Below are 24,734 nucleotides of genomic sequence, written 5' to 3'. Positions count from 1 at the left end.
TTTCTGTGGGATTGGTGGTGATATCCCCTTTATCATTTTTTATTGCATCTATTTGATTCTTCTCTCTTTTTTTCTTCATTAGTCTTGCTAGTGGTCTATCAATTTTGTTGATCCTTTCAAAGAACCAGCTCCTGGATTCATTAATTTTTTGAAGGGTTTTTTGTGTCTCTATTTCCTTCAGTTCTGCTCTGATTTTAGTTATTTCTTGCCTTCTGCTAGCTTTTGAATGTGTTTGCTCTTGCTTTTCTAGTTCTTTTAATTGTGATGTTAGGGTGTCAATTTTAGATCTTTCCTGCTTTCTCTTGTGGGCATTTAGTGCTATAAATTTCCCTCTGCACACTGCTTTGAATGTGTCCCAGAGATTCTGGTATGTTGTGTCTTTGTTCTCATTGGTTTCAAAGAACATCTTTATTTCTGCCTTCATTTCGTTATGTACCCAGTAGTCATTCAGGAGCAAGTTGTTCAGTTTCCATGTAGTTGAGCGGTTTTGAGTGAGATTCTTAATCCTGAGTTCTAATTTTATTGCACTGTGGTCTGAGAGATAGTTTGTTATAATTTCTGTTCTTTTACATTTGCTGAGGAGAGCTTTACTTCCAAGTATGTGGTCAATTTTGGAATAGGTGTGTTGTGGTGCTGAAAAAAATGTATATTCTGTTGATTTGGGGTGGAGAGTTCTGTAGATGTCTATTAGGTCTGCTTGGTGCAGAGCTGAGTTCAATTCCTGGGTATCCTTGTTGACTTTCTGTCTCGTTGATCTGTCTAATGTTGACAGTGGGGTGTTAAAGTCTCCCATTATTATTGTGTAGGAGTCTGAGTCTCTTTGTAGGTCACTCAGGACTTGTTTTATGAATCTCAGTGCTCCTGTATTGGGTGCATATATATTTAGGATAGTTAGTTCTTCTTGTTGAATTGATCCCTTTACCATTATGTAATGGCCTTCTTTGTCTCTTTTGATCTTTGTTGGTTTAAAGTCTATTTTATCAGAGACTAGGATTGCAACCCCTGCCTTTTTTTGTTTTCCATTTGCTTGGTAGATCTTCCTCCATCCCTTTATTTTGAGCCTATGTGTGTCTCTGCACGTGAGATGGGTTTCCTGAATACAGCACACTGATGGGTCTTGACTCTTTATCCAATTTGCCAGTTGGTGTCTTTTAATTGGAGCATTTAGTCCATTTACATTTAAAGTTAATATGGTTATGTGTGAATTTGATCCTGTCATTATGATGTTAGCTGGTTATTTTGCTCGTTAGTTGATACAGTTTCTTCCTAGTCTCGATGGTCTTTACATTTTGGCATGATTTTGCAGTGGCTGGTACCGGTTGTTCCTTTCCATGTTTAGCGCTTCCTTCAGGAGCTCTTTTAGGGCAGGCCTGGTGGTGACAAAATCTCTCCGCATTTGCTTGTCTGTAAAGTATTTTATTTCTCCTTCACTTATGAAGCTTAGTTTGGCTGGATATGAAATTCTGGGTTGAAAATTCTTTTCTTCAAGAATGTTGAATATTGGCCCCCACTCTCTTCTGGCTTGTAGAGTTTCTGCCGAGAGAGCTGCTGTTAGTCTGATGGGCTTCCCTTTGAGGGTAACCCGACCTTTCTCTCTGGCTGCCCTTAACATTTTTTCCTTCATTTCAACTTGGTGAATCTGACAATTATGTGTCTTGGAGTTGCTCTTCTCTAGGAGTATCTTTGTGGCGTTCTCTGTATTTCCTGAATCTGAATGTTGGCCTGCCTTGCTAGATTGGGGAAGTTCTCCTGGATAATATCCTGCAGAGTGTTTTCCAACTTGGTTCCATTCTCCCCATCACTTTCAGGTACACCAATCAGACGTAGATTTGGTCTTTACACATAGTCCCATATTTCTTGGAGGCTTTGCTCGTTTCTTTTTATTCTTTTTTCTCTGAACTTCCCTTCTCGCTTCATTTCATTCATTTCATCTTCCATCGCTGATACCCTTTCTTCCAGTTGATCGCATCGGCTCCTGAGGCTTCTTCATTCTTCACGTAGTTCTCGAGCCTTGGTTTTCAGCTCCATTAGCTCCTTTAAGCACTTCTCTGTATTGGTTATTCTAGTTGTACATTCTTCTAAATTTTTTTCAAAGTTTTCAACTTCTTTGCCTTTGGTTTGAATGTCCTCCTGTAGCTCGGAGTAATTTGATCGTCTGAAGCCTTCTTCTCTCAGCTCGTCAAAGTCATTCTCTGTTCAGCTTTGTTCCGTTTCTGGTGAGGAACTGTGTTCCTTTGGAGGAGGAGAGGTGCTCTGCTTTTTAGAGTTTCCAGTTTTTCTGCTCTGTTTTTTCCCCATTTTGTGGTTTTATCTACTTTTGGTCTTTGATGATGGTGATGTACAGATGGGTATTTGGTGTGGATGTCCTTTCTGTTTGTTAGTTTTCCTTCTAACAGACAGGACCCTCAGCTGCAGGTCTGTTGGGGTACCTGGCCGTGTGAGGTGTCAGTCTGCCCCTGCTAGGGGGTGCCTCCCAGTTAGGCTGCTCGGGGGTCAGGGGTCAGGGACCCACTTGAGGAGGCAGTCTGCCCGTTCTCAGATCTCCAGCTGCATGCTGGGAGAACCACTGCTCTCTTCAAAGCTGTCATACAGGGACAGTTAAATCTGCAGAAGTTACTGCTGTCTTTTTGTCTGTGCCCTGCCCCCAGAGGTGGAGCCTACAGAGGCAGGCAGGCCTCCTTGAGCTGTGGTGGGCTCCACCCAGTTGGAGCTTCCTGGCTGCTTTGTTTACCTAAGCAAGCCTGGGCAATGGTGGGCACCCCTCCCCCAGCCTCGCTGCCACCTTGCAGTTTGATCTCAGACTGCTGTGCTAGCAATCAGCGAGACTCCGTGGGTGTAGAACCCTCTGAGCCAGGTGCGGGATATAATCTCCTGATGCGCCGTTTTTTAAGCCCGTTGGAAAAGTGCAGTATTCGGGTGGGAGTGACCCGATCTTCCAGGTGCCGTCTGTCACTCCTTTCTTTGACTAGGAAAGGGAACTCCCTGACCCCCTGCGCTTCCCGAGTGAGGCAATGCCTTGCCCTGCTTCGGCTCGCGCACGGTGCGTGCACCCACCAACCTGCACCCACTGTCTGGCACTCCCTAGTGAGATGAACCTGGTACCTCAGATGGAAATGCAGAAATCACCCGTCTTCTGCGTCGCTCACGCTGGGAGCTGTAGACCGGAGCTGTTCCTATTCGTCCATCTTGGCTCCTCCCCCACCAATCTCATTTTTTAACACTTTACAGGCCAAAGAAACCATGGCTCTGGGCCTGATTTTGCGCACAGCCTCCACTGGTGAGCTCTGCTCCAGGTGCTGCAGGCTTTGGGCTGGATTCAGCCTGCCTTGCTCATGTGGTCATTCCATGTGCCTCACATTTAAGGCAAGGAAAGTTGGCTGTTGCAAGCTGTCAATGTTGCTTTGCCGGAGTAAGAAACAAAGACCAGCTGGTGGAGACCCCCAGTACTGGTAGATCTCAAGAGGACAAAGGTGCCTGCTGAGGAGTGGTGGGAAAGGAAATCTGACTGATAAACTTTCCACTGATTGTAATTATGTAAATCCAAGATCCCAAAGAAGTAGAATATTGGCCTTTAGATAAGGTACCATAAACCTGTCTTGGATAATTAACCTTTTTAAGAAGCAACCATGTTCAGTACTTAATATCTGAAAAGGTGTAACGTAGCAAGAGTGGGCTATAAATAAAAGAGATGGAAAGTGCGGTTGCATTTCCCAATTCATGATGGTGGGCTGCAGCTAATTAATTCATAATGCCACTGAATTGATACTTCTTTATTTGTGTTCATGCAAATTACCTCTTAACTCATGTTAAAAGGCAAACATATTGAGCAAGTTGAACTTTCAAAAAAGCCAACGTTCATAGAACACAGAATAATAACGGTTATAGTTGGTTATTCATGCTGCTATAGATAAGATTATTATGTCAACATTTCCATTTGAAACTCTTATTTTCAACAATTTATAACTTGGTCATAAAAAATAAAGATCCATTGTGCTCTAAGTGACTGTTACGGTTTTACCCAGGGAAAGGTTATTTTTTTCCCCTCCATGTTTAAAAATAGCTTTACATAGCAGGTTAAAATTTTATCATCTCACCAGGTTTAGAAAACGGCATTCACTGTCTGGGCGGGCCAGGCCATCACCAGGGGCTGCTGCTTTCTGACCTGGCTGTTCCGAGTGTCCTCCTTGGCATGATTCTCAACTCACCAACTGCTGGGGATAGGGGTTTCTTCTCATTGATACTCACCTGCTCTTGTTTTTTGTTGTTGTTGCTTTCTTTTGAAACAGAGTCTCACTCTGTTGCCCAGGCTGGAGTTCAGTGGTGCGATCTTCGCTCTCTGCAACCTCTGCCTCCCAGGTTCAAGTGATTCTCCTGCCTCAGCCTCCCGAGTAGCTGGGACTACAGGCACGTGCCACCACCCCCGACTAATTTTTGTATTTTTGGTAGAGATGGGGTTTCACCATGTTGGCCAGGCTGGTCTTAAACTCCTGACCTCAGGTGATCTGTCCACCTCAGCCTACCAAAGTACTGGGATTACAGGTGTGAGCCACCGTGCCTGGCCTTGTTTGTACCTGCCCAGTGGCCTAAAAACTTTCCTCTCTAATGTAGCCCTCTTCTGTCTTCTCTTTTCTTCCCCAAGGCTCAGGAGACATGCATCCACTTATCTATCAATTCGATTGTTACTTATTCACCGAGTACATACAGTGGACAAGATGTATGCTGTTGTGGGGACACAGGTGTGAGCAGAGAAGATATGGGAAAACTGAGAACTCCCTTGGAGTTTCTCTAATATTCAGATGTAGATTTCATGGGGTGGGATGGGCAGGAGTCCATCTTTAGGTTCTTTAAAGGTGCTGATTACAGCCAGGTGTGGTGGTACACATCTGTAGTCCCAGCTATTTGGGAGGCAGAGACAGGAGGAGTGCTTGAGCCCAGGAGTTCAAGGCTGCAGTGAGCTATGATTGCACCACTGCACTCTGGCCTGGGAGACAGAGCAAGACCCCGTCTCAAAAAAATAAAATAAAATAAAATAAATAATAAATAGGCTGGGCTCAGTGGCTCACGTCTGTAATCCCAACACTTTGGGAGGCCGAGGCAGGTGGATCACCTGAGATCAGGAGTTCGAGACCAGCCTGGCCAACATGGTGAAAGCCCGTCATTACTAAAAATACAAAAATTAGCCGGGTGTGGTGGCTCACACCTGCAGTCCCACCAGGAGTCTGAGGCATGAGAATCACTTGAACCTGGGAGGCGGAGGTTGCAGAGAGCCAAGATCACGGCACTGCAGTCCAGCCTGGGCGACAGAGTGAGACTTGGTCTCCAAATAAATAAATAAATAAATAAATAAATAAATAAATAAATGTGCTGATTTGGCTACAGTAGACACCATTAGCTTCCCACAGTAGTAAACAAGGCCAACTGTAAGTGAGCAGGCAAAGAAACAGACATCGTTGATTCAGATGGTGATGACATCAATAAATAAAAAAATAAAAATCAGTGGAGTGACTGGGAGTGACAAGAGGTGTGGAGGGCGGGAAGATCAGGGGTAAAGTGGGTACTAATAGAAAGCTCAGCTGGGTTGTGCGTGCTGGGAAGACAGGAGGCACCCAGGAGTGCTGGGGCACCGGGAGCAAGTATGGGAGAGTGGAAGAGTTAGAGAGGGGGCAGGTGGAGGAGCTGGGCTAGAATTCCAAGTCGCTTCCCTCTCTGAATCACAGGCACTCATACTTAGTGCTATTCCTCCCTATCCTGTCTTCCTTGTGTAGTTGAAATGGACCTCCCAAATGGAGGTAGATTGATGGATTGATATTTTAATTGTAAAAATAATAATATAAACTCAGTGTACTTTTTACTACTTCCCAAATGGAGGTAGATTGATGGATTGATATTTTAATTGTAAAAATAATATAAACTCAGTGTAAAAGTGTCAGATAACATAGAAAAACAAAGGGCAAAGTCAAAAATAGAAGTCAATAAATCCAGAATCCAAAGATAATGATTGTTAATATTTGATGCACGTCTTGCTAGACGTTTTGTTTGCAAACACAGACAGTTACTGACATGCATACATGCATCCATTTAACAAAAACTTGATCATATACATCCTGATATGTATATGCTTTTTTCACTTAATGCATTGAGTACCGTTTACTATGTCATTAAACATAGATCTATGATATAATTTTAAATGAGGGCAAAGTGATTTTATGGATGCATCCCCGTCTAACTCATCCTGCACAGCAGACAGGAAATCTGCAGATCATTTTTCATGATTATAAACAATCCTGTTATGAACGTCTTTGCACATTCATCTTCATGTACTTGTCTGATGCTTATTTTGGACACATTCCTACAAACAGGGTAGTTGGGTAAAAGGCTCTGGGTTGTGAGTGCAAACTGCAGAATCCCACACATAGAGGACATGGGGGTCCTCGGGCAGGCCTCCTAGGAGAGCAGGAGAGCTGCCCTCACTCCCCGGGTGGGCAGGGCTCCAGGGCCAGATGTGCTGTCTCCAGGATCCCTCTACCTTGTCTGAAGTCCAGGGCTCCCGTGACCTCTGCCTTCCAGTGGCACCTGCAAATTAGACCCCATTCTCTTAGGGTCTGAGTTGTCTTCACACAAAAGTGCTGAGAAGGGACTGTTGGTGTCTGGCAAGGTATTTTCCTCTCCATGTAGCAAAGCTACAAGAAAAGGGGGTTAGGGTAGAGTGTACCATTTGGGATCTGAGCTGAGAGGGAACCTAAGACTTGACCTCTAGAACTTTCAAATATTCACATTCTATTCCCTAGATAGCAGAGATCTACCTAGAGCTCCTGTCTCTTGCAGGGCAAGCCAGGGGAATGATTGCCTCTCTCAGCAGGAGCCGAGAGAGGAGAGAAGCTTCCCTCCACGGATGCACCTGCCCAGCACTCGGGTCCTAGGATGTTGCTCCACCTGGATCAGCGGCACCATCCCCAGTGCCTGCCTTCTCCTCTAATGCCTCCAGGTGATCTCTTGTGTTCCTCACCCTTCCCATCCCTCCTGACCCTGGGCACCTCCACGATCCCTTCTGCCCAGGCTTTTGGTTCCTTCTCCCCTCAGGGTCTCACTGACTGCACTCCATTCTCTCTCTGGAGCACAAGAAGCCTTATATGCATTTGCTGACCCCTTCAGCCAGCACAAATTTGCCATCTCTCTCTGCGTGCCTAAAGTTCCATTACAGGTGGAATAGAAGAAGCCCGGTCACTCTTACACAGCTGAGGATGCAGCAATACTTCTTCGTGGAGTGCAAGACTCTATCCCTGCCTTAAGGAGTTTATTTGGTGGAGACAAGGCAGAGGAGAAGGTAGGGTGGTTTATTCCAGCCTAAGAGAGGGCATCCACAGCACATCCCATAGCCGTCCAGAGGAAGGGGACTGGAAATAGGACAGTAGCTGTAAAATACTCATCCACACAAACTGAGCACCGCCAGAGGCCATGCCAACATAACCGAGTTCAAGCCGGTACCATGCACTGCACAACAGCCAGTACGTCAAGAAACAAGGAATTGGGTCAAGGGAGGGGGCTTTGTTTTGGAGAGCCAGCAACCGAGAAGGTGGTGGGCCAGTGTCCTAAAGAACCATCTGAAGTTACTATGAATTTCAGCCTCCTTTTATGTGGGAGGAGAGAGGGGGTTGAGGTTAGGATGTGACCGATGACAGCGGACATCTGAGCAGCAGCAAGGGTCTGAGGGGGCTGGAGACGTGTTTGTCCTTGGTCAGGTCCCAGTGCTCGTGTACATCTTTAACACACAGTGTTGCTCATGGGACGCCCTCCTTATCTCCTTGGGGGTGAGTGTTCAGAAGGAACTGTGGTCTCCTTGCTTTAAACTAGAAATGAAAGGCCTCTCACAGTTAGCTTGGTTTATGTGCAGAGATCAGCAAGAGCAGTTAACCCAGAAGATGTCACCAGAGGAGGTGGGTTAGGAGCAAAACACTTGTCACATGAGGGCTTCTTTTCACTGCTCCACCAAGGGCACATTCTTGCCTTCCCCTTTATACACACTCCTGTTACCCCCATCTTGCCAGGAGGCTGGACGTGTCCCCAGGTCTGCCCAAGTCCACCAGGGCTTCCTGGAGGACATGGAGTTCATGCTGGACCTTGACCCGGAGAAGAATGAGGCAGAGGATAGAGGGGGCTCCAGGTTAGGCCCAGCACAGGGCCAGGTGGGAAGGAGAGTAGCTTTGGCCTCTGCACAGAACCACCAGGTCCATGGTCCAGTCTTGTCTCTTCTGCCAACCCCATCCCTTCCAGCTCTGGCATTCATGGAACAAATCATCAGTTATTTGGATTCAAATCTGACAAATTAAATTGCAAAGAATTAAATAAGTTGTAGATCAATACTGTCTAAATGATCAATTAATCATTCCCTGTAATTAAAACTACCAATTCCTAATACCTTTCAGTTAAATTTTATTGCACCATTTCTAATTCAGAGCTTTTCGGCAGTTATATTGATTGCAGGTATACTTACCTGGTAATCAAATAATTTATTAATCAGCATACTTCATTATGGAATATCTGCACATTGACTCAGAAGGCTGGTTTAGTTCAGCCTGAGTTTTATTTTTATTTTATTTTATTTTTTTGAGACAGAGTTTGGCTCTTGTTGCCCAGGCTGAAGTGCAATGGCATGATCTTGGCTCACTGTTACCTCCACCTCCTGGGTTCAAGTGATTCTCCTGCCTCAGCCTCCCAAGTAGCTGGGATTACAGGCACCCGCCACCATGTCTGGCTAATTTTTTTTGTTTTTAGTAGAGACAAGGTTTCACCATGTTGCTCAGGCTAGTCTCGAGCTCCCTCAGGTGATCCACCAGCCTTGGCCTCCCAAAGTTCTGGGATTACAGGCATGTAATATCCTGCCCAGCCCAATTTGAGTTTTATTTTAAAGATGCTGGAGGTTTGCCATTACCTGCTTGTATACGTCACACAAAGTTCCTTCTTTTGTGAAAAATAATTGCAAAAAAAATAGGTGTGTGTACTTAAAAGCAGGTAAATGGATAAACTCAAGTGGTTCCTCAAAATTATGTTTTAACCGTAATCTTTTTCATGGAGGTTTTGCAACTTAATTTATTCCCAATATGCTTAGAAAAGTGCTCTCAAGATTCAGGGATGAAAAGGCCTTTGGGAAAATGGGTGCTACCTTCATTAGTACCTTGAAATACAAATTAAATCCCAAGCACATCACAATTTGCTTTCCTGCATCTACCAATTTTGAAATAGTACAAATAAAATGTCTTACTTACCTCGTGAATTTATTATTTCAGCTGTTCATGCTGGACACCTGGTGGTTTGATTTAACTTCCCTTAATGTTTTGGGGCATCATTAGGAGAGGGAAATGAGGACCTGTAATTGTGTGTGCAGACCCTGCAGGGGCCCTGGGTGGGCTGGAGCCTCCTTTCTGCTCCCCTTGCTCACATTCAAGGTCCCCAGGGCTGTCTGGGTTTGTCTTGGAGATTCAGGGAGCCAGCTCCTCCCCAGAGAGAAGAGGGCTCTGGTGGGCTTCCCTCTGCAAAGACAGAACGTGGGCATCAGTCTCTGGATCTCAGCTTCTCCTGATTGATGGGCAAAGCTTCCACAGAGGTGTTGAGCTGGGTTGCAGCTGAGTGGATCCAGCACTTCAGGCTTGAGAACAAGATGACTGAAGGTAGGGAGCCATAGGACCACTGAGAAGGCCAGAGGTGGAGGTGGGAGAGGGGCAGAAACTGACATTACCACCTTCTCTGTCCTCTACAAACTGCCCAAGGACTTTCAGAGCCATACTCCTTCAACTTATGCCCCACACCCCGAAATCTTCCTTCCCTCCAAAAAATGTTCATTTCTCCATCAACACAGTTCATCCTAGACCCGTCTGTCTCAGAGTACTCCTCACTCTGCAGGGAGAGCTGGGGGAAGTCCCTAACAGCACGCAGAAAGGATGGCAATTTGGAACACGGAGTGGATCACATGCCGAGGGCTTCCATGCAGTCACATGCTTACACACCTTCTACCTGCATCCTCACAGAGTCCTCCGGGAGTTCCAGCCAGCAGCTGAGCAGCCGGACGGCACCATCCTTGCTCCACTTCCCTGCTTGCTGGCTCTCATTGTCCTTATTCTTGGAGAAAGAAAGTCCAAATTCTTAGCACAGTGTGCAAAGCATGAGCCCTCCAGGTCAGGGCCTGAATTAGGTGATCTCTGAGTTCCCTCTGAGCCATAGCACCCTGTCCCACCAGCCCAGGACTCCCTGCCCCTCGTCCTTTCTTTCCTCCATAGAACGTACCACCATCTGGTATATTACATGTTTGGTGGTTGTCTAGCTTCCACCACTAAAATATAAGGTCCTGGGGGCCACACGCATTTGACTGCTGTGTTTGCTGCTGTCTCTCTCATCAGCAGTGGACACACAGGGTTGCATACAGTAGTCACTGTACACAAATCTTCTGAATGGATGAATGAATGGATGAATGATCCATCTCCAAGGGCCCTTAATTACAATCATAACCAACTAACTTAGCAATTTGAAAGCCTTCTTTCATCTTCACAACCAACTTTCGAGTTAGGTATTCTTATCTCCATCCTCAGACGAGGACACCAGGGCTCAGAGGGCGTCAGTCACTTGCCCAGGTGACTCCAGCAATGGGAGGACTTAGGATCACACTTAGGCCGCCTGACTCAAGAGCCCAGGCTCTTGCAAAGTATTTGAAACAAATGAGCTCAATTAATTCCACACATTTTCAGGGGGCACATAATACAATCCAGGTGTAAAAAACACTGGGGGACTTTTGGTGCTACTGCACCAGCCTGCTTGGCAAGAGATGGATGTGTGGCTGATAGGGAAACTGATAGGGTTTTCAACAAAGCCTGAAATTAATCATACTTAATGAATGTGACTAATGTGATGAAAGAATGAGCGATTAAAATATTAGCACATCTGAACTTCTCCTCCCTGGCTAATCTCCTCCCTAGGGTTATCATCTTTCAAAGAAGTAGGGGCACAGAATTACAGAAACGGGTTTTATGGAACACAAATGCCTTTTAAATGGCTTAGATTAAGGACAGTCTGTGCAGTTCTCAAGCGGCTGTCTGTCTTCACATCTCGCTGCTCAAGTGAGGGACGTGGGCTGTGGGGAGAGGCTGAAACTGTCAAGATGGCTGCAACTGGAAATGGGAAGCCAGGCATTTCCCGGGGTAATTGTGTGGAAACAGGAGACAGGCGTGGGGTCCCTTCAGCAGGGAGGCGGTTGCCTTTCTGTGTAGGCACTAGGTGAGATGAAAGTGGCTGGGAGGCATGTTCCCTGGGGATGAGGCAAAGGCATCTTACTGGCTTTGCACATTATGCAGGATCACAGGCAGAACTACCTAGGGACCAATTTTGTTTTGAGGATGACGAATGCAGAATCCCAGCACATTTGCCTTAGAGCTCCCCTCCCTATGCCCCCTCAACACACATTGCCCAGATGAACACATCAAGGCAGTAGGGAAGAGGGCTGGGGGCGGTGGTTTGCGCCTGTAATCCCAGCACTTTGGGAGGCTGTGGCGGGCGGATCATGTGAGGTCAAGAGTTTGAGATCACCCTGGCCAACATGGCGAAACCCTAACTCTACTAAAAATACAAAAATTAGCTGGGCATGGTGGCATGTGCCTGTGATCCCAGCTATTCGGGAGGCTGAGGCAGAATTGCTTGAACCCAGGAGGCAGAGGTTGCAGTGAGCCGAGATCACACCACTGCACTCCAGCCTGGGCAACAGAGCAAAACTTTGTCTCAAAAAAAAAAAAAAAAAAAAAAAAGACTGTAGGGAACAGGAAGTGTCTAGACTACAACTCACACTTGGAACTAGGAGATTCCCCTGCATATCAGTGTTCTGCTACTCTCCGGAATCAATCGATCATGCTTGTGCAAGGAATTATATAAACCTGAGGTCCCAAACTCGAGGCCTCAGCAGATGGGCAGGTAATGTAACTGAATGGACACAGTGGGAAAGGACCCAGACCACCAAGCAGGTACCTACCCTGGCTGACAGCACCCCACCGTCTTTCTCTTTGTTGAGGACATGGGCCTCGAGTGGCTTAAAATAATGCAATTTTATTATTTTACAATTCTGGAGGTCTGAAGCCTAACACAGGTCTGTAGGGCTGCACTTCTTCTGGAGACTCTAAGGGAGAAGGTTTCCTTTCCATTTCCAGCTCTATCTCTGCCTGCAGGTCCCTCCTCTGGCCCCACCCTCAAAGCCAGCAATGTGGCATTTCTGTCCTCTCACCTCTTGCTTCCCTCTTCTAAGACCCTATGAACATGCCGCACCCACCCGGACACTGCAGGAAGACTCTCTGATATGGTTTGGCTCTGTGTCCCCACCCAGATCTCACCTTGAATTGTTACAATCCCCTTGAATTGTAACAAGGGGGGGACCAGGTGGAGGTGATGGATCATGGGGGCGGTTTCCCCCATGCTGTTCTCATGACAGTGAGTTCTCATGAGATCTGACAGTTTTATAAGGGGTTCCCCCTTCGCTCTGCTCTTATTTTCTCTCCTGCCACCCTGTGAAGAGGTGCCTCCTACCATGATTGTAAATTTCCTGAGGGCGCCCCCCCAACCAGCCGTGCTGAGCTGTAAGTGAATTAAACCTCTTTTCTTTGTAAATTACCCAGTCTCAGGTATTTCTTCATAGCCGCATGACAACAGACTAATACACTCTCCCTATCTCAATCTCCAATCACAGCTGCAACATTCCTTTGCTGTGTAAAGTAACATATTCCCAGGTTCCAGGGATTAGGCTGTGGACATTTTTGTGGGGAGGCATTATTCCATCTACCACAGTTTGTATGTGGGAGTACTCACAATTTGTAAATGCTAGCAAATAATTCTGAGGTTCATAGCACTGTGTATGCCAGATCACCAGGTGTCTCTGGGCAGAAATGAGTGGGGAGAGAATGAATCTCCAGTCCATGACTTCCGACCTCTGATTTAAACAGTGTTTGTTAAAAGGAAGGCTTGGTGTCATGCTTCCTCCTGCCTTGTTCATACATACACATTGCGTGTCAGACTTCCAGGGAACTGAGAAGCTTACCAAGCATTTATGTTCCCAGGCCTGTGGCTATTTTTTTCCCTCAGTTTACAAAACTAACAATGTTTATTAAGCTCTCATTGTATGCCAGTGTGCTAAATATCTCACATGGATTCTTTCTTTTAATTTGCACAGCAATGTCATTTTTATCCCTGTTTTACAAATAAGAAATCTGACACTCAGTAACGTTGCCCGATGTCACACAGGTAGTAAGGGGCAGAGCTGCCATGAAGGCCAGGCTGTCTGGCTCCAGAGTGAGCTGATACATGAAAGCTAAAACCCCCTTCAGTTAAATAACAACCACTGAGGGGTTGCAGTGGTGTGTACCTGTAGTCCCAGCTACTCTGGAGGCTAAGGGAGGAGGACTGCTTCAGGCCAGGAGTTTGAGACCAGCCTGGGCAACACAGCAAGACCCCCATCTACCAAGTGGAACCCAGGTTGGCCTACAGAAGTCCAAGTTCCAGTATGCCTGCCACTCCTGGACATTGGCCTCCTTCTTCCACGAGAAGACAGCTGTTCGGCCATACAGTTACCCATCTCTCTGCTGCAACGCTGGACTCGAACACCACTACCAGATGCGTTCTTATCAATGTGTCTTTGGGCATGTCATTTGTCTTCTCTGAGTCTTAGTTTCTTCATCTAGAAAATAGAAAGTTATTATTATTGCAGATATTTACATACTGTGTGCCAGGCACAGTTCTAGGCATTTTACATGTATTAATCCATCTCATCCTTAAAATAACTCTCTAGGGTAGATCCTGTTATTATCTCTGTTTTACAAGAGAAAGACGGAGGCACACACAGAGATTAAATAACTTGCCCTAGGGCACAGCTAGTGAGTGGTGAAACTAAAATTGAACCCAGGAGGTCTGGAGATAATTCCTATTCTGTTCACCCAACTGGGACATTGTGAAGGTTTTGTGAAGGATCATTCATTCATTCATTCATTTTTCATTTCCTTACCAACTCAGAGGGAATTGTGATATTATTTCTTGTGAAGCACTCAAACCATGCATGCTGTGTGACAACTTCTCTGGAAATGTCTTTTATCCTAAGGTTGTTGCCAAGGGAGAGCACTGAGCCAGCTGTGTGATGAGCCTGGCTAGGGTGGCCCCTGAGGAGGCAGCCTCCAATCTTGAGAGTACAATATAGTCCCTTGGGCTATAAGGCTGGTCAAAGCCTAGGCCCTAAGGGGAGTCATAGGAAGGTCAAAGGGGAAACCTGTCAGTACACTTTGGACCTGGCATGAGGAATAACAACGAGTCAGCAAGGATCAAGGGAAGGCTTCTTAGAGGAGGTGGCATCTCAGATAAAAACACCACTAGCAAATCCTCACTTGGTGCTGCCTGTGTGCTGGGCCTGCTTGTAGATGCTTTACACGTTTTAGTTCATTTACTCCTCCCAGTAACTTTACAACACACATGGCATCATTACTGCCCCCATTTGGCAGGTGAGGAAACTGAGGCACAGAGAGGTGAGGGAACTTGCCCAGATCACAGAGCCCATGCACAGCACAGAGCCAATTCTGTGCACTGCTTATATTAACATTTACTTAATATTTAAATTATTTTTGACCTAAATGAAAAACTTTATCTCAGTATAGTACAGAATAGAAAACCAGTATGGATAGAAAATCAATACTATGAACCATATAATGAAATCACTCTAGACTCAGTTCTCTGCTAAGAGCTTCTAACTCAAGATCTTTTCTGTTAAAAGTGGGAGATAAGTGTAGAGAGGAATTAAAGATATATTAGGATCAAACTGAGGCCAAGTGAATTTGCTCATGCCTATAATCCCAGTACTTTGGGAGGGGGAGACAGGACTCCTTGAGGCCAGAAGTTCGAGACTGGAGTGGGCAATATAGTGAGACCTCATCTCTACTTTTTTTTTTTTTTAATTAAAGATGTATTAGCACCAAACTGAGACTTTCTCATTGGTGCAATCAGGATTGAAAAACAAAACAAAAGAAAACAAAACTTTCTCACTATGTGATGGAACATGAATGAGCGAGCTCTGTGCATCCTCTAAAATTCTAAAATCCTACTTTGGGAAACAGTGGTGGCACTGAAGAGCATAGACTCAGGAGACAGATTACCCTGCTTCACATCTTGCTGGCTATCCAGTTCCTGGAAAAGAATCTCTCTAAACCTCGGTTTCTTCATGGGTAAAATGCTGATAGTAATAGCTCTGACTTCATAGAGACCTTGATAACAAATGAAAGAACGTAGGTATAATAAAACGCAAAACCAAATACACAGTGAATACTTAATAAACATAATCCATTAGCATTATCGAGCTTTGCACAGATGCCTCTGGCCTTTTTGTTGTTGTTGTTGTTAGATGAAGATAATAAAAATCATCATAGTAAACACATAGCGATTACTATGTGCTGGACTTCGTCGTAGTTGAGATATATTACCATCCTAAGTTAAACTATAATCGTTTATTGTTATCTCTAGGTCTTCCTAGATGAAATTTTTACCCTAAAGGATCGTAAAGTCGGCCCACCGGACGTCAGTGGGGTCCCCTGTTCAGCCCTCTCGTTCTTCTGGGGATCTCTCGGGACACTGACGAGGTGGCACCGGGACCTACAGGTGGGCCGCAAGCCCCGCCCCCAGCGACGGCTTGTAGCCCCGTCCCCCGACGCAGCGCCTCTCCAAGTTTGCCCCGCCCTGCAGGACTGCAGAATTTCCTTTCCGGCGGCGCGCTGTCGTCACGCGTCCCGCGCCTCCTCGCGCCTGCGCCGTGGTTGGAAGGTCGTCCCTGTGACCGGCTTGGCGGTTGGAGCGGCTGTCGCCATGTTGTCGGTAGCATCCCGCTCAGGCCCGTTCGCGCCCGTCCTGTCGGCCACGTCCCGCGGGGTGGCGGGCGCGCTGCGGCCCTTGGTGCAGGCCACGGTGCCCGCCACCCCGGAGCAGCCTGTGTTGGACCTGAAGCGGCCCTTCCTCAGCCGGGAGTCGCTGAGCGGCCAGGCCGTGCGCCGGCCTTTGGTCGCCTCCGTGGGCCTCAATGGTGAGCCGGGGCGAGGGCCGCGAGCAGGGCTGGGGGTCTCTCGGTGCCCGCTCCTCCGGCCCCCAGCAGGGAGCGGCCGCGGGCGCGCGAGCGGAGCCTGAATCAGGTCGGGCTGGGCGGCCTCCGCAACTCTGGGCCTGGCCCCCGGGCTCGGGGCGTCTTTCTGGTGGCCGGCCTGGACTCGCGTCCGCCGGCTTCGCCTGGTTCCTCCTCGGCCGAGTTCACGAGCTCTGTAGTCCCGCTGTTCCAGCCACCTCTGAGGGGTTTTGTTGCTTGCAGGTCGTTTGACCTTGGGCGAGTTTCTAAACGTACTTCCTGTGAAATGGATTCATATCTTTATCAATTTTGTAGGGGTGTCGTGAGGCTTAGGTGGAGGAATTCTACGTAAAGCCGTTAGCACAGTTTGGGCACTTACATGCTTAAGAAATGGAAACTTACTAATATTTGGGAAGTTGGTCTTCTCACCACTACCGATCCCTTCATGTCCTTCCCCTTCATCACCCCCCCACCAAAAAAAAAACAAAAAAAACATACACAAGGTCAGTTACAGTGTAGTGTCACAACATAATCAGTCGTCAAGGACGGGCAGAGATTGACGACATTTACATTTTACAGATGAGAAAACAGACGAGGTAGAATGACTCGCACCAGGATCCGTGGTGTGGACATGTGGTAGCAGGGATTTGACAAGACGAATTGTCGTAGCCACTGAGCTCTTCGCAGGGGCTATTCCACACCCTCTGTCCTTAGATCCCCGTTTATCTTCTTTGCCTCGCCTTCCATCTTTACTTGGCCCTGTATCGGAGATAGAGAAATGGCAGCCTGTGGGCAGTGTGTCTGCAGGCTGTGTAGTTTTCAAAAAAACTGGGAAGACTAATGGCATCTCTTAAAATGCTGGAAGCCGGTAATACTGGGATCTAGTTTCTACTTGGGAAAATTCCATAGTGTGCTGTGTAGTGGCCGCCCCCGCAGTTGGAGCAAGTGGTCTTCTCCAGTTTGTCACAGTCTTTACCAGGTCTGCGTGTTTCATTCTGTTACCAGCCTGGCTCCACTGATAGCTGTTTGTGACTCTTCCCCTACACGCTAACCAAATTGCCCGCCACTTTTCTTTTTACTCTGTCTTCATTCACCCTGGGCTCTGCACTTTCTTCATGGTCCTTCCACTAAGTTGCTACATGTCCATATGTTTTCCTTACCCATCTTTTCAATCTCAGTTAAGGATCAGGTGAATAAAGTTTTTATTTGCTGATTTGTCTGTCTCTGTAGCACATACACTTTACACTCTGTATTGTGTTTATTGGTAACTCCTCCACCCTTGGGCTTAAGGGCATAGAGAAGGTAATATCTTCTTTATTTTTCTATCTTTCACAACGTCGGATTTTGTATACAGTTAGTGCAAAGTATTTGTGAATGAATATTTGTTAAGGAGCATCAGTGGGTTTTGAAGAAACTGTCCATGGCAGGTGTAGAGTACCCTAGCCCATCCTTGGGACCTGGAGGTGAGAAGGAAGGAAGGAGAACATTTCAATAGCAAAAGAAAAGCATCTTTGGAATTCGTCGTGTTGCTAAAGTTTCTTCAAAAAATTGGAGGCTTACATTTCTCTGATGGCCAGTGATGCTGAGCATTTTTTCATGTGTTTTTTGGCTGCATAAATGTCTTCTTTTGAGAAGTGTCTGTTCATGTCCTTCGCCCACTTTTTGATGGGGTTGTTTGTTTTTTTCTTGTAAATTTGTTTGAGTTCATTGTAGATTCTGGATATTAGCCCTTTGTCAGATGAGTAGGTTGCAAAAATTTTCTCCCAATTTTTAGGTTGCCTGTAAACCACAATGAGATACCATCTCACACCAGTTAGAATGGCAGTCATTAAAAAGTCAGGAAACAACAGGTGCTGGAGAGGATGTGGAGAAATAGGAACACTTTTACACTGTTGGTGGGACTGTAAACTAGTTCAACCATTGTGGAAGTCAGTGTGGAGATTCCTCAGGGATCTAGAACTAGAAATACCATTTGACCCAGCCATCCCATTACTGGGTATATACCCAAAAGACTATAAATCATGCTGCTATAAAGACACATTTACATGTATGTTTATTGGGGCACTATTCACAATAGCAAAGACTTGGAACCAATCCAAATGTCCAACAATGATAGACCGGATTAAGAAAATGTGGCACATATACACCGTGGAATACTATGCAGCCATAAAAAATGATGAGTTCATGTCCTTTGTAGGGACATGGATGAAATTGGAAATCATCATTCTAAGTAAACTGTCGCAAGGACAAAAAACAAACACTGCATGTTCTCACTCATAGGTGGGAATTGAACAATGAGAACACATGGACACAGGAAGGGGAACATCACACTCTGGGGACTGTTGTGGGGTGGGGGGAGGGGGAGGGATAGCATTGGGAGATATACCTAATGCTAAATGATGAGTCAATGGGTGCAGCACACCAGCATGGCACATGTATACATATGTAACTAACCTGCACATTGTGCACATGTACCCTAAAACTTAAAGTATAATAAAAAAAAAATTGGAGGTTTACCTGACTTAGAGAAACTATTTTTAGAAACAGGCAAATAATGTAGAACCATAAGGCAAAAACCTTTTCTGTAATCATTTCAGCCTGTAATTTAAGTTCACATTATAGTCTGTCTAGATGGTTCATGGCAGGATGGCTTATGGGAGTGGAGGGGTTGGATCTGGAGAAGATTCTTGAATTGGAGAGGAAGGTTGTACTATTTTCATGCAGATTTCCAAGGCGCATTGGAGCTCAACCTTAAAATAAAACTTGTTTTGTTAAAATTCCTTAAATTTTCTCCTTTAAGTATTTGATTTTGCTTTAGGTTAGAATTAAATCTAGCATCTTACTGAAAGTCAGACCTAATGCAGCTCATGTAAATATTTGGAGAATGATTTTTGCAACAGGGCAGTTTAATTTCCGAAAGGATTCTTGGTGGTGTAGCCTACTAAAGTGTAACCAGCTAGATAGAGTGGGAGGAGACTTTTGCCACCAAATCTCTGAATGAGAAGGGCAAAGCCATTTTATTGAGTTTTCTTGTACATTTCCTTGTATACTGTTAAGGGTTGTGGATACTGTTTTTAATGTAGAAGTATGAACTTTTTATTCCTTTATCTTTTAGGGAGGAAGCTCATCTTTTCTGTAATCCCAGGTAGTGCTAGGAGCAAGTAATTTATGCTTAATTCCAAATGCCAGTATATACTGGCAGGTTAGCATTTATTTGTTAGAGTAGTAGTATAGGATGTAATGTCACTTTGACTCCACAGATTCTGGGATGTGAGTCTCAAGTTGCCATTATCTGTGTCCTGGTCTTCTCCAGGAAATGATTTAGTCAGAAAAGCACATAGAGTGATTTTGGTAGGTTTCATTATTGTTTGAATACTTCTGGCTTCCATAAAGTTATTGACCTTGAGAATCATGTGAAAAGCAGTTCAGGTATTCCATATTGTAATGTTTGACTACTCAAGGAAGTACAGTATATTAGGATGATATCCTAGTAGAGCAAGGTAGAATTGCAGTTTATTACAATAAAAATGCATCATAAAAGATCTTTATTTTGGATACACATTTTCTAAAAGAGGAATTTTTAGTGTCCCCTTTTTTAAAAAGGAAACTTTGTGGCAAATTTCTTAAGATGAATATACAATTTGCAAAGAGGTTTGCTTCCTGAAACATACCTAAAAGTGGTACTAGGTAAAATTTTTTTTTGGTCAGATATTTAAAAATAGTATTGGAGAGAGGGATGTAACTGTGTCTTGTTTTTGTTTTTTAAACTACCAAAGAAACTCCTTGCTCCCAAAGTACTACATAGTAATTATTTGTTTAACATTCATTTGAGCTCTTTTATGGCCTAGACTAGAAGTGCCCCAGTTGAGAGAACTACAGCAGTGAAAAGGGAAGATAATACCCCTACTTTTACAGTAACTATTGCCCTTTACTGAAGAGGGGGAGATATGAAAATTTTGCCCTTTTTTTCCCTTGCTAAATTGAAATAATTAGTTCTTTTGCAGTTTTCATTTTATTTTGAGAGCTCTGATAAGGATGTCCTTCTCTGCCTATTAGTGGTTTTAAGTTAAAGTAATACTAATTTATACACTAGAGTATAAAATAGAAACGCTAATTTTTCTGCAGCAGAGTTATACAGTTCACAGAATGTTTATTATATCATTATTATTTTATGAATTAACAGTTTTTTCCGAGAACATAGATTGGACTATAAGGGGCAGACATTTGCCTTAATAAGGTGATCACACGTCAACTTACTGTGTGGACTAGATGAGTTTTAGGGTGTCCTTCTAATCCAGAGAGTATGGGAGGTATTTAGCATGATTTATATAGTAAGTCTTGGCAGTTGAATTTTCGGAAACTTTGAGTTATTACTGTTTATTTTGCTGTTTAACGTTTTTAGCATGATGCACTGAGGTGTTGTGAATCCTGAATCAGCAATGTTCAACCAACTAGGGGGAGCTCAATTTACAAATAGTATCTTGTGATTTCATACCAGTATGATAGGTGGTGGTTCACTTCATTTCATTTTTAAGATTTTATATGCTAGCACCGCCAATTTGACTATTTCTGAGACCCAGTGAGTGCCATATTTCACATTTTTAGAATTTGATTTTTTACCTGTGAATCCATAAAGGGCTATTTCCTGATATATACTCCCTTCGGGATACTCATCTAATTGTGTTTTTTAACCTTCTGTTTGTCTTGCAGTCCCTGCTTCTGTTTGTTATTCCCACACAGACATCAAGGTGCCTGACTTCTCTGAATACCGCCGCCTTGAAGTTTTAGATAGTACGAAGTCTTCAAGAGAAAGCAGCGAGGCTAGGAAAGGTTTCTCCTATTTGGTAACTGGAGTAACTACTGTGGGTGTCGCATATGCTGCCAAGAATGCCGTCACCCAGTTCGTTTCCAGCATGAGTGCTTCTGCTGATGTGTTGGCCCTGGCGAAAATCGAAATCAAGTTATCCGATATTCCAGAAGGCAAGAACATGGCTTTCAAATGGAGAGGCAAACCCCTGTTTGTGCGTCATAGAACCCAGAAGGAAATTGAGCAGGAAGCTGCAGTTGAATTATCACAGTTGAGGGACCCACAGCATGATCTAGATCGAGTAAAGAAACCTGAATGGGTTATCCTGATAGGTGTTTGCACTCATCTTGGCTGTGTACCCATTGCAAATGCAGGAGATTTTGGTGGTTATTACTGCCCTTGCCATGGGTCACACTATGATGCATCTGGCAGGATCAGATTGGGTCCTGCTCCTCTCAACCTTGAAGTCCCCACGTATGAGTTCACCAGTGACGATATGGTGATTGTTGGTTAAGAGACTTGGACTCAAGTCATAGGCTTCTTTCAGTCTTTATGTCACCTCAGGAGACTTATTTGAGAGGAAGCCTTCTGTACTTGAAGTTGATTTGAAATATGTAAGAATTGATGATGTATTTGCAAACATTAATGTGAAATAAATTGAATTTAATGTTGAATACTTTCAGGCATTCACTTAATAAAGACACTGTTAAGCACTGTTATGCTCAGTCATACACGCGAAAGGTACAATGTCTTTTAGCTAATTCTAATTAAAAATTACAGACTGGTGTACAAGATACTTGTGAAATCTGTAACTGACTTTATTTTCTTGCCCAAATATTTGCTTCCTGCTTTGCGTCAGGGACGCAGATTCTGCACGGTCATTGTTGGGATGAAGTAAAATTAACGGGTCATCTAAGTGTCTATGGCATTGACAGAAACAGTAGTATCTAGGTATTCCTTATTTACCGGACTTGGTAAGAGTCCTGGCTATGCATTTCCTCCCTACTGTGTAAGCCGTGTGATAATCTCAACACTAATCTGTGGGAAAGAGTCCTGAATGAGGCATTAGTAGCTCTGAGGGTTTATCTTCACGTCTGGTCTGCTGGTTTTTCTCCTTAAGTGACAGGCCAGGAAATTTTATTAGTCCCTTATGAGTGTAAATTAGTACTTAATCCTTTAGTCTTAATAGGCAGTGATGGGATATTACCTGAGAGAAACTTTCCAAAATGAGAGTGCTCTGCCATTTCGTTCATTTTGTGTGTGGTTCATCATGTCCCCAAAGTTCCTGCATCCACTCTATCAGGAGGCAGAAAGGGAGCATCTGAGACCTAATACTGCCTGCATGCAGAAGTGGTCCTGCTGGGTTTGTTTCTGTAGTGATGACACTTTGAATGTTTTTTCCTGTTGGGTTTACAGTCACTCAGCACTTTTCACTGTAAGATGGTGTGGAACCAGACGCAGAGCACATCGGAATTCACATCCTATTCTGCCTCCAATTACACAGGTGAAACAAGACTAAGGTCCATTTTCCCCTGGGAGTTGGGAGTGGGCTTTGTCCTTTGAGAATCACAGTCACTTTTTGATGTGTTTGTCTTTGCTGTTTAGAGGTGGACCAGTCGTGCTTTACTGAGTCTACCTGATAATCTCATGTACACTTTTTTAAAATGGCAAAAATGGTTAGGTTGGGTCTGCCCAAAGGGAACTGACCATCCAGGATTCCAGCCTTTGATGTTAATAGCTAGGTGTTGACAGAAAAAAGAAAATGTCAAACTTTCTATGCTTATGAGTAGATACTAGTCTTTGCTTCATTTTTACCATTCTAGAAATGAAATTAGCATGTGTGATAATTGGTGGGACACAGAAGTATTTTATATTCTGTGTCTCTAGATAGTGGAGGCACTCTTCGGATTGGGGGTTGGAGGAAGGGTTGGTGGCAGAGTTGGAATGTGAAACATTGAGTTGTGAGGGGAACACAGGTCCACACACTAAAAAACCTGTGCTGCCAAAAATGTCAACAGCACCCCCTCCCTATAGAGAAATACTGATAACCTATATCACCTCCCACCCTGAAGTGATACCTTGAAATTCTACATGGCAGTGGAGGACAGAAGTAGGAAGTTTGCAGGTCTCTAGGTACTCACTTAGTGCCGGAATTGCTATATTTGGTGGCTGCTTACTTCATCTTTCATATTTAGAGTTTGATGGTGGGATGCTGTTAAATTGTAGTAGACCATTTAGTTTTTAAAGAAGGCTTTGTTCCACAAGTGACAGGACAAGTCAAGTCACTTCATGCTGTTTTGCTGAATGGATACGGCAGACCTGTGTTAACATTTTTACCATTCTGTGAAAACAAAATCCTAGATAGTAGGAGAAAATTACTTACAGAATAAACCTGACCAGCTAGCACCCTGACATCAGATCATTAACCTACTGCATTTTATTGGGGATAATTCTTGGGACAATCTTGAGAGCCAAGTGTTTTCATTATGCTTTAAAAAGTGTTATAAAAATGGCCTTTTTGAAAATGTTGCATTATTTGTTAAAGATAACATCAAATTTTCTTTGGTCTTTCTGAGCATACCTTTGTAAAAACTTTGACTCAATCTGAGTGTATAGAGGGCATTTGTCCTGACTGGATCAAAATGTGCTTTAGTACCCTCATTTTTCTAAACTGTAGGAACATACTATTTAAATATCAGAAGTAATTCTTCATTCTCACAGTACTAAATTTCATTTTCTGTATTTTCATGTCGTTTGAATTTCATTGCATTTTGTATATTAACCCAAAATAATGTTTATATTTTATGGACTGTTATCCTTAGCCCACTGTTCTAACACACTTTATCACCACCTATTTGCTGGTGACTCCCCACAACCACTTCCCTGAGTTTCATATTCATGTGCTTACTGGGCATATATGTTTGGATGTCCTGTTGACACCTTAAACTCAAACTGTCTGAAAGGAAAAGATGTCATCTCTGTTTCCAATGAACCAGCTTCTCTATTTTAGTCAGTTGCCTCTCCATCGACCTTGTTAACTACCCGCCAGGCGAAAAACCTGTTAGTTTTCCCTGCCTCCTTTCCATCCATTATCTCCTCTCCACTTTGCCCCAAATCAGTCCCCTAGTTCTGCCAATCTACTCTTTGTTTTTCTTTTTTTTTGAGATGGAGTCTCAGTGTTGCCCAGGCTGCAGTGCAATGGCAAGATCTTGGCTCACTGCAACCTCCACCTCCCAGGTTCAAGTGATTCTCCTGTCAGCCTCCTAAGTAGCTGGGATTGCAGGCACACGATGCCACACCTGGTTAATATGTTGTATTTTTGTAGAGACGGGGTGTCACCGTGTTGCCCAGGCTGGTCTCAAACTCCTGAGCTCAGGGAATCCACCTGCCTCGGCCTCCCAAAATGCTGGGATTACAGGCCTGAGTCACTGCGTCCGGCCTGCTAATTTACTCTTAACAAGACCATTACTGTATCTGTCATCTGTAGCATTCTAATAATGGCCAACTTTTTGAGCACCCATTACTGACCACTAGGCTAAGTGTACATTAGGTATATGGTCTCTCTTAATCTGTAAAATCTGAGGTTAATGTCAGGTAGTGTTGCTATTTCTAGTTTACAGATGGGGAAACTGAGGCACACCAAAGTTTCTTTTCTACAACCATACCTGTTAGGTTTGTTGAGCCAAAACTTTTATTTTAGCTGAGGGAGTCTCGAGTCCAGAGCCTATAGTCTGATCCCCATTTTATACTGTAGTGTTTTAATTGAGGCCTTGTTAAGTCTTGCCTAGTCTACTGCAGTAAAATTCCAGATAGATC

The 24,734-nt window shown here is 44.4% G+C and overlaps 1 protein-coding gene and 1 long non-coding RNA gene across 3 annotated transcripts, besides 2 other annotated features; one reads left to right on the top strand and one right to left on the bottom strand.

Moving 5' to 3' along the window:
- Window positions 1-13,164: 13,164 nt before the first annotated feature.
- On the bottom strand, window positions 13,165-15,727 carry UQCRFS1-DT (UQCRFS1 divergent transcript). 2 transcript variants are annotated; one of them, NR_184021.1, is made up of 2 exons: window positions 15,546-15,727; window positions 13,165-13,699 (listed from the first exon to the last, which is right to left on the bottom strand). It is a non-coding gene; the product is annotated as a UQCRFS1 divergent transcript (long non-coding RNA). The 2 variants fall into 2 exon arrangements; NR_184022.1 differs by having other exon boundaries at window positions 15,572-15,727.
- Window positions 15,646-15,885: an enhancer, noted in NCBI's record as "active region_14405". NCBI's record gives its function as "activates an Ori minimal core promoter by ATAC-STARR-seq in GM12878 lymphoblastoid cells {active_cell/tissue: GM12878}" and the evidence as "EXISTENCE:reporter gene assay evidence [ECO:0000049][PMID:35858748]".
- On the top strand, window positions 15,829-23,660 carry UQCRFS1 (ubiquinol-cytochrome c reductase, Rieske iron-sulfur polypeptide 1). Its single transcript, NM_006003.3, has 2 exons — window positions 15,829-16,075; window positions 20,822-23,660. The coding sequence occupies exons 1-2, from the start codon at window positions 15,862-15,864 to the stop codon at window positions 21,430-21,432; spliced, it is 825 nt and encodes a 274-aa protein (NP_005994.2). The 5' UTR covers window positions 15,829-15,861; the 3' UTR covers window positions 21,433-23,660.
- Window positions 15,926-16,235: a silencer, noted in NCBI's record as "silent region_10462". NCBI's record gives its function as "represses an Ori minimal core promoter by ATAC-STARR-seq in GM12878 lymphoblastoid cells {active_cell/tissue: GM12878}" and the evidence as "EXISTENCE:reporter gene assay evidence [ECO:0000049][PMID:35858748]".
- Window positions 23,661-24,734: the final 1,074 nt, after the last annotated feature.

This window comes from Homo sapiens, chromosome 19, assembly GCF_000001405.40.
Source record: "Homo sapiens chromosome 19, GRCh38.p14 Primary Assembly".
NCBI lineage: Eukaryota > Metazoa > Chordata > Mammalia > Primates > Hominidae > Homo > Homo sapiens.
Note: the sequence above shows the minus strand (reverse complement) of the source record. Positions and strands in the feature narration are given on the sequence as shown.